Genomic DNA, 16,273 nt, shown 5'->3' on the forward strand with positions numbered 1-16,273 from the left:
TTTGTCCAGATGCCCACAAAATACCTGCCATGTTTTATGTTGTCTTGGTTCCCTCCTAGGGTCCCATTAGAACACTTAGTCCCATCCAGCCCAGCCCTCACCTTACTTTGTAATGTAGGCCTGATTTCTTTCAGTGAAACCTTGACCTTAACCTTGAGAAAAATTACACCCTCAGTAGTTCCTGTCTTCCACCTGAATGGGCATATGATCTACCATGTTAGGTAGCATAAAACCCAGGTGCCCAGTGGATACACAGAGATTTTTATTGTGTTTTTTAGGGATGACATCCCTGTCTTCTTAAAGCTGCTTTAATGCTGAAATGTTTTGATACTTTTGATGTGGCCAAAGATTCTCCAATAAAGATATATATATATTCTAATGTCAGAAACAGATTAAATCCTTCCCTGTATCACTATGAAGGTCACATATTAGTCAAACTTTACCAGTGTTTGTGGAATAAGTGAATAAATGAGTTTTAGACCTTCATCCTGTTATTACTTCTTTCACTTTCATAAATGCCTATCTAATTTAATCACTTCATGAGAAGAAAATTGAAAACTCAATCAGGGTTAACTGGGTGGAAGTTCACGATCCAGTTGGATGTCGTTTTCGAATTGGAAGTTGGTAGTCAAGAAGGGGGTTGTAGTGAGAAAGGTCAATAAAAGCTCCTGAAGGTGCACAGAAGAGACCCAAAGCCCTGGCTCCTGGAGCTACTGCTTGATTCTCACAGAGGTCCCGGCACCCTGCAAAGTGAGTCCAGAACTGGCAAGTCACCACTTTTTAGGGACATGCCCATTTGATCTGATCTTCTGTATAGCAAGTCATACAAAAGTCTGGAAGACACTAGCACATACACTGTGAAGAGAAGTCTGGGATAAGGGGAAGATTATAGGAGATGTTTGCTCTGTGGTTTTGGAATGTTTTGCATTCAGAATACTGTCCAGAGAAGGGAAAAATGATGAAAAACAAATGAAGCTCGCCCTCATGTACCTCTATGTACCTCCTACCATGCTGGACTTTCTTGTTTTGTTTCATTTTGTTTTTCTTTCTTTCTTTCTCTCTCTCTCTCTCTCTCTCTTTCTTTCTTTCTTTTTCTTTTTTTGATACGGTATCTCACTCTGTTGCCTAGGCTGGGGTGCAATGGCATGATCTTCGATCACTGCAACCTCCACCTCCTGCGTTCAAGCAATTCTCCTCCCTCAGTCTCCCCAGTAGTGGGGACTACACCTATGCACCACCACGCCCAGTCAATTTTTGTATTTTTAATAGAGACAGGATTTCAATCATGTTGGCCATGCTTGTCTCAAACTTCCGACCTAAAGTGACCCACCCACTTCGGCCTCCCAGATGCTGGGATTACAGATGTGAGCCACTGCACCTGGCCAATTGCTGTACTTTCATGATACACATGGAGTATCCACAGTATCACAAGGGCTATTTTTTCCATAATCCAACTTATTTGTATTATTGGTAGTGAGCTACTGTTGACGTCCCCACGTTAGCAATTTAGTGGCTATACTGATGATAAGCATTTCCATGCATCATGTGGTCAACAGCATTTGCTACCAAGTGCCACGTTCCATGCTCAGCAGTGGGACCACAGGATGAGCGAGACAAAGTTCCTGACCTTTAGCAGCAATATCGAACAAGTGAGATTGTCAAGAAAGAAAAAATCCTTGTAAAACATACCATACCCCTACGATTCAGTCATCATGCTCCCAGGTATTTAACGAAGGGAGTAAACCCACACCTGGATGTTTATAGCAGCTTTATTCATAATCGCCAAAACTTGGAAGCAAGAAAGATGCCCTTCAGTGGGTGACTGGATAAAGAAACTGTGATCCATCTGGTCAGTGAACTATTACGAAGCCATAAAAAGACATGAAAGATTCCTAAATGCACGTTATTGTACAAGTGAAAGAAGGCAATGTGAAAAGACTCATCCTGTTAGACATTCCAGAAGAGCCTTCTGCCTTTTTCTATGGAGATGGTAGAAAACCCAGTGGTTGCAAGGGATTTGGAGTACAATGGGATGAATGGAAAGAGGACAGAGGACTTTTAAGGAAACAAAACTACTCTCCATGATGCTCTAATGGTGGATACATGTCATTATCCCTTTGTTAAAATCCATAGAATATACAAAACCAGCAATGATCCTTCATGTGAACTATGGACATTGGGTGATAATGATGTGTCCCTGTGGCTCATTGGTTGTGACGAATGCTCTGTGCTGGTGTGGGTGCTGATCCTGTGGGGGTGCTGTGTATTGAAGGGGGAAGAAGGTAGATGAGAACTCTGCAGTTTCTGCTTAGTTTTTCTGTGAATCTAAAACTGCTATAAAGAAAAAAATAGGCTGGGCGTGGTGGCTCACATCTATAGTCGTAGCATTTTGGGAAGCCGAGGCGGGTGGATCACCTGAGGTCAGGGGTTCGAGACCAGCCTGGCTAAAATGACAAAACCCTGTCTCTACTAAAAAATAATAATAATAATAATACAAAAATTAATCAGGTGTGGTGGTGCATGCCTGTAATCCCAGCTACTCTGGAGGCTGAGACAGGAGAATTGTTTGAACCCTGGAGGCAGAGGTTGCAGTGAGCTGAGATCGTACCACTGCACTCCAGCCTGGGTGAAAGAGTGAGACTCCATCTCCAAAATAAATAAATAAATAAACTCAAGGCTGGGTGCGGTGGCTCATACCTATAAGAGCTCACTCCCAGCAATTTAGGAGGCCGAGGCAGGTGGATCGCTTGAGCCCAGAATTTCAAGACCAGTCTGGGCAACGTGGTGAAGCCTGGTCTTCACTAAGAATACAAAAATAAGCCAGGCATGATGGTGCATGCCTGTTGTTCCAGCTACTAGGGGGACTGAGGCAGGGAGATCACCTGAGCCTAGGAGGTCAAGGCTGCAGTAAGCCGTGATCATGCCACTGCACTCCAATCTGGACGACAGAGTGAGACTTTGTCTCCAAATAAAATAAAATAAAATAAAATAAACTCAATATTTTTAAAAACTGTAATGTTTCCTTTCAAAGCTAAAATTGTATTATTCTAAATATATTTTAAAGAAGAAATGATTATTGTTCAGTGTCTTTAAAATTAGTTTTTAAAATCTCATTTGTTTTGACATTTCAAACCAAGTTAAGTATTCTTTTTCTCACCCTCCTTGAGACGGAGTCTTCCTCTTTCACCCAGGCTGGAGTGCAGTGGTGCATTCTCGGCTCACTGCAACCTTTGCCTCCCAGGTTCAAGCGATTCTCTTGCCTCAGCCTCCTGACTATCTGGGATTACAGGCGCCTGTCACCACGCCAGGCTAATTTTTTGTATTTTTCGTAGAGACGGGGTTTCATCATGTTGGCCAGGCTGGTCTGGAACTCCTGACCTCGTGATCTGCCCACCTCGGCCTCCCAAAGTGCCAGGAATACAGGCATGAACCACCACACCTGGCCATTAACCATTCTTAACATATCACGTTGCATTCTTTAAAAGTTCTAATCTTTCATGTACATAAATTACAACACAAATATTTGTACTCTAATAGTATTCACATTATAGTAAATTTTTTTTCATGCTCTGTCACCCAGGCTGGAGTGCAGTGGCGCGATCTTGTCTCATTGCAACCTTCGCCTCCCGGGTTCAAGTGATTGTCCTGCCCCAGCCTCCTGAATACCTGGGATTACAGGCGAATGCCACCACTCCCAGCAAATTTTGTGTATTTTTAGTAGAGACGGGGTTTCACCATGTTGGCAAGGCTGGTCTCAAAATCCCGAGGCTGCCTTGGCCTCCCAAAGTGCTGGGATTAGAAGTGTGAGACACCATGCCCGGCCATAATAATAAATTTTATTTTATCTTTTTTTTTTTGAGACGGACTTTTGCTACTGTTGCCCAGGCTGGAGTGCAATGGCTCAGTCTGAGCTCACCGCAACCTCCACCTCCCAGGTTCAAACGATTCTCCCGCCTCAGCCTATCGAGTAGCTGCAATTACAGACGTGCGCCACCACGCCTGGCTAATTTTTTGTATTTTAAGTAGAGAAGGGGTTTCTTCATGTTGCTCAGGCTGGTCTCAAACTCCCAACCTCAGGTGATCCACCTGCCTCAGCCTCCCAAAGTGCTGGAATTACAGGCGTGAGCCACTGCACCTGGCTCATAATAGTACATTTTTAAAAACACCATAAAATATAATCCTTGCAACACTCAATTATACCATCTGGTCGGATCTATCAGCAGATGGCACCCGAGACATACGGATTGGAAATTTTGATCTTATTATGAATGAATCCAGTCCAGAAATGCCCACCCTGCCCCCTGCTGGCTCCTGGGGCTCTGCTCTTTGGGGGAATCATGATGAAATTGTGGCAGAGAGTAGAAGTTGAGCCCCATTGCATGCCCTGAGTTCTTGTTGCCTCTCTATTATCAGGAAAAGGAGGTGAGATTGAAAGATGAAAAATGCTGGGACTTCTGCTGAGAAGAGAAAAAAGAACAAGATGTATTGATCTTACTGTATGCCAGACCCCATGCCAAGCCCTAAACATGAACCATCTCATTGGATCCTACCTAGGTCCCATAAGCTGTTGGACATCATCATCCTCATTTTACAGGAAGCTGAGGCTCTTGGCTAACATCCCTGACAGCAACACCAGCCCCTGAGTACTCAGCAGGATCCTTCACTTGGATGCCCGCTATGCAGGCTTCCTCAGCACAGGGAAGGTCACTCATCACCCACAGGCCCTTGATCGTTATCCACCCTTTGATGCTGTCAGATTCCAGAACACGCTGCACTAGTCTCTTCCTTCATAGGGAGAGAGGGAAAGTGTTATGAGAAAATCTCTCATCAATCTGACCTAGCTCCCCAAAAAGATGTAACTTTTAAAATGTCAGATGGAAATATTTAAAAAGTGTTACATGCCTGTATAGTTTTAGTATTTTACTTAAAGGGAATGTGGCTGTCTTTACTGGCTACAACCAGTTTAATTCAAGAAGGGCTGCTGGTCATCAGGGGAACAAGCAAGGTTTGGTGCTGCCCAGAGTCTCCAGCTAATACACAATATGGACATACCCTTCCAGGGCAGCGAGAAGAGAGTGGGTCCTTGTGCAGTGCAGCTGACATCCACCAACTAAGGCTTCTGGAAGCATGTGGAGACTCACAGGGAGTGGGCAGGGTCTCAGCATCTGGCTAGCGGTGAAAGACCCTGAGAAGAAGGTGCTTTCCGTGTGGATTGGCTCACTGTTCTTGCCCAGTAATGTTCCAGGCCTTTGGTGTCCACCTGGTGTGTATTAACCCACTGAACAGCCACAGAAACTAACAAGGATTTAACAGACATCTAAAGAAGTGAAGAACTGGAGGAGGCCAAGCCAAGCGTGGTGGTCCACGCCTATACTCCCTGCATTTTGGGAGGCCAAGGCAGGAGAATCACAAGCTCAGGAGTTCCAGATCAGCCTGGGGAAGACAGCGAGGCCTTGTTTCTACTAAAAAAAAGTATCCAGGTGTGGTGGCTCACACAGCTGTAGTCCTAGCTACTCAGGAGGCTGAGGTGGGAAGATCGCCTGAACCCAGGAAATTGAGGCTGCAGTGAGGTATGATTGTGCCACTGCACTGTAGCCTGAGTGACAGAAGACCTTTAAAAAACAAAAACAAAAGCAAAAGCCTGACACAGTGGCTCACACCTGTAATCCCAGCATTTTGGTAGGCCTACTTGCATGAATCACCCAAAGTCAGGAGTTTGAGACCAGCCTGACCAACATAGTGAGGAAACCCTGTCTCTACTAAACATACACAAATTAGCTGGGCACGGTGGTGCATGCCAGTAATCCCAGCTACTTGGGAGGCTGAGGCAGGAGAATCATTTAAACCCCAGGTGGAGGTTGCAGTCAGCTGAGATGGCACCATTGCACTCTAAACTCCAGCCTGGGCAACAAGAGTGAAACTCTGTCTCCAATAAAAGAATGGGAGGAAACTGATTACAATAACCAAATTTCATTTAAATGCCTTGATTTTCTTGGGCTGCATCTTATTGATTGGACAACTCAGTCAGTGCCTTTTGTTTTTTCCATCAATAACTGAAGATTCCTGAGGCTTAAACTGGAAAACAGGTTACTTAATAATAGAGGGCACCAGACAGATTCTGCTCAGTTTTCCTTTATTTCTGATTGTTTCTTTACAACCATCCATGCAAGAGTAACTCCCTCATGTATTCTCAAGCCTGAATTCCACTCTAGACATTCAGATTCCCATTTTCGACTCTACAGGATACACGTTCCCAAAGTCCCATCGAATCCATGGCAACATTTCCCCCAAGTCCTGCCCCTGCTTGATCAGCATTCCTTTCCCACTTTCAGAGCCCATGTGTGAAACGATGGGTTCTGTGCTCCCTTTAGGATGTACCTAAGACCTAGGTTTTAGTTTCCAAGTGTCCAGAAGAAAGCGTTTGACATACCCATCCAAATAGGCAGGCATTCAACAGCAGTATTGATCTGCCTCCAGGTCATAAAATGACCTGTTGCCACAGTCAGGGCAGTAGTCAGTACCGAACAAGATCCTCTTGGGGTGCCTTAAGTCCCTAACTCTCTTCATCAGCTCAGCCCTAATCTGAGTAAATCTGCTCCAGCAGAGAGTACCATCAGCACCATAACTCTCCCGTGGGGCAGGATACAGCTCCAGGCATAAGTTTTTGAGTATGATTGTGTGGCTCAGCAGGTTCTCCAGGGTGGCCATGGAGATGGGATTTCCACAGAAGCTGAAGGTGTTGAGCTCAAAGCAGCGGCTCAGGGCAGGCAGGATGGCGTTGACTTGGGAGTCTATGATGCCACAGTCATCTAAATCCAGGTACTCAAGGGTGGCTGCAACTTTTTCTAGGAGAATTTGGAGAGGCACAAGACTGTAATTGGTCAGTCTGATGCCACTCAGGTCCAGGGTCTTTAGTTGACTGATACTCGGGCACTGGGATAGATGCTTCAAGTCTGATTCCAAAAGCACACAGTTAGTTATTGTGAGGACCTTTAACGAGGTCTTCAGACAGCTGTGGAGAGAGAGCAAGAAGTTAATTCTGGGGAATCATAGGGGTGAGTGGAGGGTGGTGGGGAATGGCTTCAAGGTAATGGATGGAGACCATTTTGCCCAAGTCCAGGATCATTCTCATGGCCGGATGGTCAACACTTCGGATGATGTGTGATGAAGAGCTTTGCCACCGAGGTCAATTCCACTTTAGGCCCGGCCCAGTAACTCACACCTGTAATCCCAGAACTTTGGGAGGCTGAGACTGGTGGATTCCTTGAGATCAGGAGTTTGAGACCAGCCTGCTGAACATGGCAAAACCTCCTCTCTACTAAAAATCCAAAAATTAGCCAGCTGTGGTGGCGGGAGCCTGCAATTCCAGCTACTTGGGAAGCTGAGGCAGAAGAATCGCTTGAACCCAGGAGGTGTAGGTTGCAGTGAGCAGAGATCATGCCACTACACTCCAGCCTGGGTGACAGAGAGAGACTCTGTATTAAAAAAAAAAAAGGAGAAAAAATAATTCCATTTGAGGCTGAGTCATTTCACCATCATTTATAGGAATGGATCAAGTTCACAGAATCCCTAAAGCTCCCTTTCCTCATCTGTCAGGCAGAAAACCACATCCCTGGGCCACAGAAGCCCAGTGGAGATGCAGGCATAAAGGACAAACCCAGACAGGATCCTGCAACATCAGCTGGGGTGGGCGGGCTGCAGGCGTCCCTGACACGCCTGTATCATCAGCAAACCATCTATCACTTTCACCATTCTTTGTGCCTGCTCCCTGACCCTCTGTTTCAGAATCATACATTTCCTAGGTAATTAATTTACCTGGAGCTCAAAAGAAACTTTTACAACAGGGAATTAGAGATGGGATCATTCATGTTCACGGAACTGTGGGGCACAAAGCTGATTTTCTGACATGTGCAGATTTGCTGAGCATTCCCCTCTTCAGTGACCACTTCACTTCCCTACTTCCCATCATCTTCTTAAAAATTATCTTGTTGGCTGGGCGTGGTAGCTCTCGCCTATAATCCCAGCACTTTGGGAGTCCAAGGTGGGCGGATCACCTGAAGTCAGGAGTTGGAGAATATCCTGGCCAACATGGTGAAACCCTGTCTCTACTTAAAATATAAAAATTAGCCAGGTGTGGTGGCCCACGCCTGTAATCCCAGGCACTGAGGAGGCTGAGGCAGGAGAATCGCTTGAACCTGGGAGGCAGAAGTTGCTGCGAGCTGAGATGTCACAACTGCACTCTAGCCTGGACGATCATAGTGAAAATCCATCTCAGAAAAAAAAAAAGTTATCTTGTTTGTTTTTACTTTTATTTCTTCATTTCTGACAGGGGTCTTGGGATGTTACCCAGACTGGTCTTAAACTCCTAGGCTCAAGCTATCCTCTTGCCTCAGACTCCCAAAGTGATAGGATTACAGGCATGAGCCACCGTCCCTGGCCTATTTTTCATCATCTTAACTTAGACACACGTCCTCAGGAAGAATTCAGAAAGGCACCCTCACTAGATCTGAACCCCCCAGTAGCTAGCTTCCTAGTATGGCAACCTCTCTATAGCATCTCCCCTAGCTGATCCCTCTGCCTCTATTGGGATGGTTGCATGATACCCATTTCAGGACAGGGCCGCCAACAGGACAATGTATGGACATTCTAGTGTCCCCTTCACTGTTTCATCCTCATAGGCTGGCTCACAGTAGATGCCCACTAGCGTTTAGTGAAACAGGCTCTGCTGTGGTCTGCAGAGAAAGCTCACCACCCTCCCTCACCTGAGCAGCTGGTCCAGGTGGCCTTCGAGGAAAGAAACAGAGTTCATATAAAGCTTTTGGAGGCAGTGCAGCTTGAGGAACTGAGTGGTGAACTGGGTAACAATCTCCTTCTTCTGCTCTGGGGAAACGTAGCGAGAGACATCCATGTGGGAGAGAACGAGCTTCTGAAGATTCCTCATGTGGCCCAGGTATGGGGTAAACTGTGTCAGGATGGGCAGTACCCACTTGCAATTCACTTCCACCTCCTGGATACAGTCTAGGTTCACCATTTTCAGGATGCTTCTGATATTGCGGAAGGGCATTCCCAAAATTTTCAGCTTCTTACAGCACAGGTGTAGTAAATCTTTCCTCTGCTTGACCCATAGAAGGAGGCAGGTGAGGTGTTCATCCAGAGTCCTGTTCTTGAGCCAAAGTTCTACGAACACAGTCAAGGGCTGCCGTCCTCTCATCCTTGGACAGTCCTGCACTGGTTTTTTGTTCCTCTTGGCATTGAGGAAGCACCCACGGGCCATAGCTTCAGACCAAACCATCCAGAAGTTCTCACAGACATCCTGTAAATCCAGCACTTGAAGTTTCCACCTCCTGTGGGAAAATAGAGGTGAGACTGAGAATTTCAGAACTCATTTCTGAACTTAAACTCCACATCCTGGATAGCAGCTCCTCCCCTCCCTGCTTCTTGTCCCTGTCTCTGACATTTCTCCACCCTGTTTTCCCCTTGGATCCTGCCCACTTTCACATTTTTTTTTTTTTTTTTTTTTTTGAGACCAAGTCTCCTTCTGTCACCCAGGCTGGAGTGCAGTGGTGTGATGTCACCTCACTGCAACCTCTGCTTCCCCGGTTCAAAGGATTCTCCTGCCTCAACCTTGCAAGTAGCTGGGATTACAGGAGCCCAGCACCATGCCCAGCTAATTTTAGTATTTTTAGTAGAGTTGGGGTTTACCATGTTGGACAGGCTGGCCTCCAACTCTTGACCTCGGCCTCCCAATGTGCTGGGAATACATTGTGAGCCACCGTGCCCGGCCCAGTTCTCACTTTTCATGCTGGCTTTCAGTGCCATTAGGGGAGAGGTTCCTGTTACCTCCATGGACCTGGCATGGTCAGCAGTGCTTTCCCTGAGGAGCTGGTGAATGGCCAAGGCCTCTCAGCTTCCTCACCACCACCATCGCCCCTTGGGCCTCCTCACTTCTCATGACCCAGCTGTTCCTTCGGTTGGACACCTGGGCCCTCCCCACCAGCCCACCTGGCCCACCTCACCTGGGACGAACCCCGTGGGTAAGCAGTGCATCAAGCCCATTGAGCACAGCTTGGAAGGTCTCCAGACAAGGCATCTTTATCAGAGGCCTCAGAGGGAGGCGGCGGAAGGGCCAGGCCTGTACCATCAGCTTCAGGGCCTCACAGCGTCTCCTGCTGAAGGCCTCCATGAACAGTGGGGGGAAAAGTTCTGTGGGCAGCTCCTCCAGGGTGGACATGGCCAAGGCTTGGTCCCTCAGCACGCTCCGCCCCGCCAGCTCCAGGAGTCTGGGTGGAGTCCGGATGCTCATCTTCATGAATCTGCAGGGAAAACTTCCAGAGGACAAACCCAGAGAAAAGGCATCACTCTCAGGACAAGCCCATGCAATCTCATCTTCTCCCAGGGCCAAAGTCACTGCTTTGGCAATGGTGAAACAGCCCTCAGTTTACTCCAATTCTACTCAGTACTCAGTGGCCATTAAGCCAGCATTCTGCCTCTGCTGCATCAGCATGAGCGTCTCCGAAGCAGTGAGGAGGCAGGGCCACAACTAGCCCTTCCTTTCTATCCAGTGCTCCATCCAGTGACTAGTGAGTGTGGAGGAACCTGAAAGCAAACCCCTCCGACCATTGGGGGAAATTACTAATTACTCAAGGTTCTAAAACAATGGGAAAGGGAGTGTCACAAGCCTACATGCCCACAATTTCAGTTCCTACAAATAAGCTTGTTGGGAACATTCATGGGGCATCCCTAGAACAGGTTCTATTTGTTTTCTTTTCTTTATTTAAGGTTTCCTTCTCTTTCTCTCTCTTCTTTCCTTCTTTCCCTCTCTCCCTCCCTTCTTTCTTTCTTCCCCCCTCTCTCTCCCTTCTTTCTTTCTTGTCTTCTTTCCCTGCATCCCTTCTCTCATTCTCTCTCTCCCTCCCTCTCTCCCTCACTCTTTCTGACAGGGTCTTGCTCTGTTACCCAGCCTGGAGTGCAGTGGTGGGATCTTGGCTCACTGCAGCCTTGACTTCCCAGCCTCCCAAGCCTCCTCAGCCTCCCAAGTAGCTGGGACCACAGTTATGCATCACCACACCCAGCTCATCTTTTATGTTTTGACTTTTTGTAAAGACAGTGGATTTCACTATGTTGTCCAAGCTGGTCTTGAACTCCTAGTCTCAAGCAATCCACCCCCCTTGGCCTCCCAAAGTACCGGGATTATAGTTGTGAGCCTCCACTCCAGCCTTATTATCGAATATTTCAGTGAGAAGCTTTGAAAGCTATGTGACACTGTTATGCATCATTCGCAAGATAGATGATTCCAATACACACCTCTCGCACATATTCAAAATCAACCACTTTGGCTGGGTGCAGTGACTCACCCGTAATCTGAGCATTTTGTGAGGCCAAGGCAGGTGGATCATCTGAGATCAGGAGTTCAAGACGAGCCTGGCCAACATGGTAAAACCCTACCTCTACTAAGCCAGCAAAAATTAGCCAGGTGCAGTGGTCTGCGCCTGTAGTCCAAGCTACTAGGGAGGCTGAGGCAGGAGGATCACTTGAACCCAGGAGGCAGAAGTTGCGGTGAGCTGACATTATACCACTCCACTCCAGCCTGGGAAATAGGCTAGATTCAAAAGAGAGACAGAGAGAGCTACATTTGATTAGACTTCTTAATCTCTACCCAGTTAATCCTGATTGGATTTTTGGCTTTCTTCCAGATTAACTGATTGAATTAGATATTCATCCATCAAAATGAAAGATTTAGGGATAGGGTGAAAGTCCAAGACTCATTCACTGATTCACTCCACAAACGTGGAGTTTTACTAATATGTGTCCTTCACAGTCCTGAGTGTGAGACAGGGAAGGGTTGAATCTCTTCCTGATATTAGACAGAAAGAAAGAAAACTTGAAAGTATCTGTAGAGGGATCCTTGGCCACATCAAATTTCTCAAAATATTTCAGAGTTAAAACAGTTTTACAAAGACAGAGATGACAGTTCCTAAGAAAACACAATAGTAATCTTCATATATCCAGTGATTACCTGGGTGGCATAATTCTTCTTGGTGTTGAGGGAGCTGAGTCTCACTTCGTTGCCCAGGCTGGAGTGCAGTGGTGCCATCTCGGCTCACTGTTACCTCAGCCTCCAAGATTCAAGCAATTCTCATGCTTCAGTCTTCCACGTAGCTGGGATTACAGGCATGCACCCCCACACTCATGTCTCCATTTGGGTGGAAGAGGATGTGATTGCTTTAAAATTAAGGTCAAAGATCCTTTTTTGTTAAGATGTTGCTTTTGTTTTTTGGACAGGGTCTCTCTCTTTTGCCCAGGCTGGAGTACAGCAGTGGTGTGAGCATGGCTCACTGCATCCTCAATCTTCTGGGCTAAAGTGATTCTCCCACACCAGCCACCCAAATAGCTGGGGCTACAGATGCATGCCACCATGCCCAGCTAATTAAAAAAAAAAAAAAAGTAGAGGCCAAGCACCAGTGGCTCATGGCTCTAATCCCAGCATTTTGGGAGGCCAAGGCAGGTGGATCACTTGAGGTCAGGCGTTTGAGACCAAACTGGCCAGCATGGTGAAACCCCCGCCCCTACTAAAAATACAAAAATTAGCCAGGCATGGTTTCAGATGACTGTTATACCAGCTTCTCTGTATGGAGACTGATGCATGAGAATTGCTTGAACCTGGGAGGTAAAGGTTACAGTGAGTTGAGATCGTGCCACTGCACTCCAGTCTGGGCAACACAGCGAGACTCCATCCCCATCCTCAAAAAAAAAAAAACGTTGTGTAGAGGAGGGTTTTTGTCATGTTGCCCAGGTTGGTATCAAACCCCTGGGCTGAAATGATCCTCCCACTTTGGCCTCCCAAAGTGTTGGGGTTAAAGGCATGAGTCACTGCTCCCTTCAAGAATTTTGAAATGACCTAAACCAAAGCACAATCAACTTTTTTGAAATAAAGACAGAACTCTATTTAGAGGAAAACATTCAAAGCTTCAAATTGTTCATATGAAAAAAAAAAGGACAGGATATAGCTCTGTGCCATCGTAGGCTGCACTGTCACCATCCCAGACCAGCTGACTGTAGGTCAGATGGGAGTGTCCTTACAGAAATTAATGACTTACCAGATCTGGATGTAGTTTAGAAGGTGCTCAGACCTCAGGAAGAACCAGGCAGGAACTCCAGGCTTGAAGACTTTGGGTCTCTCCTGTGGGTCTTTAGAAGCTTTTATTGACGTTTCTAGTCACAACTCCCACCCACGCCCCTCCACGTATCCGCTGCTAGCTTCCAATCAAAAAGTGATATCTGATTGCATTTCTGAAGCTCCAGCCAGTTAATCCTGATTGGGTTTTTGGCTCTCCCCAGATTAATGGATTGAATCAGATGTCCATTCATATCACATATCTATATTCACTTCACGAAGCAAGAAATTGACAGTGTTAGGGATAGGGTAGAAGTCAAGAATACATTCATTCAAGGCCAGGTGAGGTGGCTCACTCCTGTAATCCCAGCACTTTGGGAGGCAGAGGCAGGTGGATTATCTGAGGTCAGGAGTTTGAGAAAAGCCTGGCCGACATGGTAAAACCCTACCTCTACCAAAATTACAAAAATTAGCCAGGTGCGGTGGTCTGTGCCTATAGTCCAAGCTACCAGGGAGGTTGAGGCAGGAGGATCGCTTGAACCCAGGAGGCAGAGGTTGCAGTGAATTGACAATACACCACTGCACTCCAGCCTGGGAAATAGGCAAGATTCAAAAAAAAAAAAAAAAAAAAAAGAAAAAAGAGAGAGAGAGAACTACATTTGTACATTTGATTTGACTTCTTAAACTCTACCCAGTTAATCCTGATTGGATTTTTTGCTTTCTTCCAGATTTACTGATTGAGTTAGATATTCATCCATCGAAGTGAAAGAATTAGGGATAGGGTGAAAGTCCAGGACTCATTCAGTGATTCACTCCATAAACATGGAGTTTTACTAATATGTGTCCTTCAAAGTCCTGAGTGTGAGAGAGGGAAGGGTTGAATCTCTTCCTGACATTAGAGAAAAGAAAAAACTTGAAAGTACCTTTGTTGAGGGATCCTTGGCCACATCAAATTTATCGAAATATTTCAGAGTTAAAACGTTTTACAAAGACAGAGATGACAGTCCCCAAGAAAACACAATAGAAATCTTCATGTATCCAGTGATCACCTGGGTGGTATAATCTAATTTTTTTGGTGTGGGGGAAGCTGAGTCTAACTTTTTGCCCCATGCTGGAGTGCAGCGGCGCCATCTCAGCTCATTGTAACCTCCGCCTCTGAGATTCAAGCAATTCTCATGCTTCAGGCTTCCACGTAGCTGGGATTACAGGCATGCACCCCACACCCATGTCTCCATTCAGGTGGAAGAATTACCGAGAGGATGTGATTGGTTTAAAATTAAGGTCGAAGATCCTTTTTTGTTAAGATTTTGTTTTTGTTTTTTGGACAGGGTCTCTCTCTTTTGCCCAGGCTGGAGTACAGCAGTGGTGTGAGCATGGCTCACTGCAGCCTCAATCTTCTGGGCTAAAGTGATTCTCCCACACCAGTCACCCAAATAGCTGGGACTACAGATGCATGCCACCATGCCCGGCTAATTAAAAAAAAAAAAAGTAGAGGCCGAGCACCAGTGGCTCACGGCTCTAATCCCAGCAGTTTGGGAGGCCAAGGCAGGTGGATCACTTGAGGTCAGGTGTTGGAGACCAACCTGGCCAGCATGGTGAAACACCCGCTCTACTAAAAATGCAAAAATTAGCCAGGCATGGTGGCAGATGGCTGACACCAGCTTCTGAGGATGGAGACTGAGGCATGAGAATTGCTTGAACCTGGAAGGTAAAGGTTGCAGTGAGTTGAGATCGTGCCACTGCACTCCAGTCTGGGCAACACAGTGAGACTCCATCCCCGTCCTCACAAAAAAAATAACGTTGTGTAGAGGAGGGTTTCTGTCATGTTGCCCAGGTTGGTCTCAAACCCCTGGGCTGAAATGATCCTCCCACTTTGGCCTCCCAAAGTGTTGGGGTTAAAGGCATGAGTCACTGCTCCCTTCAAGAATTTTGAAACGACATCAACCAAAGAACGATCAACTTTTTTGAAATAAAGACAGAGCTGTATTTAGAGGAAAACATTCAAGCTTTAAATTGTTCATATAAAAAAAAAAAAGACAGGATACACTTCTGTGCCATCGTAGGCTGCACTGTCAACATCCCAGACCAGCTGACTGTAGGTCAGATGGGAGTGTCCTTACAGAAATTAGTGACTTACCAGATCTGGATGTAGTCTAGAAGGTGCTCAGACCTCAGGAAGAACCAGGCAGGTACTCCAGACTTGAAGACTTTGGGTCTCTCCTGTGGGTCTTTAGAAGCTTTTATTGACCTTTCTAATCACAACTCCCACCCACGCCCCTCCACGTATCCGCTGCTAGCTTCCAATCAAAAAGTGATATCTGATTGCATTTCTGAAGCTCCAGCCAGTTAATCCTGATTGGGTTTTTGGCTCTCCCCAGATTAATGGATTGCATCAGATGTCCATTCATATCACATATCTATATTCACTTCATGAAGCAAGAAATTGTCAGTGTTAGGGATAGGGTAGAAGTCAAGAATACATTCATTCAAGGCCAGGTGAGGTGGCTCATACCTGTAATCCCAGCACTTTGGAAGGACAAGGTGAGTAGATCACCTGATGTCAGGGGTTCAAGACCAGCCAGGACAAAAAGGTGAAACCCTGTCTCTACAAAAATACAAAAATACAAAAATTAGCCCGGCATGATGGCAGGTGCCTGAAACACAGCGACTCAGGAGGCTGAGGCAGGAGAATTGCTTGAACCCAGGAGGCAATGGTTGCAGTGAGCCAAAATTGTGCCACTGCACTCCAGTCTGGGTGACAGAGGGACATTCTGTCAAAAAATAAAAAAATTAATTCATTCATGAACTCCACAAACACTGATGGAACTTTACTAATATGTGAACTTCATAGTCTTGAGTGTGAGGCAGGGAAGGATTTGATCTGTTCCCGACATTAGACAGAAAAATAAAATCTGAAAGTAGTGTTGTTAGGAGATCTTTGGCCACATCAAAATATGAAAATGCTTTATACTTTAAAAAGCTTTATAAAAACAGAGGAGTCATCCCTACAAAATCAGAATAAAAATCTCAATTTATCGAATGGTCTTGGGGATTTTATATAACCTAAGGTAGCAGATTATATGCTCGTTCTGGTGGAGGAGAGGTGCCACTGAGGGCGTGAGTGGTCTCAGGGCTTAGGTTAAGGCTTCTTTGGAAGAA

At 46.1% G+C, this 16,273-nt stretch overlaps 1 protein-coding gene across 1 annotated transcript; it reads right to left on the reverse strand.

Annotated features, from left to right (window-relative positions):
• Nucleotides 1-6,120: 6,120 nt before the first annotated feature.
• PRAMEF26 (PRAME family member 26) lies at nt 6,121-13,223 on the reverse strand. Its single transcript, NM_001306072.3, has 4 exons — nt 13,098-13,223; nt 10,017-10,325; nt 8,763-9,344; nt 6,121-7,012 (listed from the first exon to the last, which is right to left on the reverse strand). Exons 2-4 carry the CDS (start codon nt 10,307-10,309, stop codon nt 6,451-6,453), a joined length of 1,437 nt encoding a protein of 478 aa, NP_001293001.1. The 5' UTR covers nt 10,310-10,325; nt 13,098-13,223; the 3' UTR covers nt 6,121-6,450.
• Nucleotides 13,224-16,273: the final 3,050 nt, after the last annotated feature.

This window comes from Homo sapiens, chromosome 1, assembly GCF_000001405.40.
Source record: "Homo sapiens chromosome 1, GRCh38.p14 Primary Assembly".
In the NCBI taxonomy this organism is placed as follows: domain Eukaryota; kingdom Metazoa; phylum Chordata; class Mammalia; order Primates; family Hominidae; genus Homo; species Homo sapiens.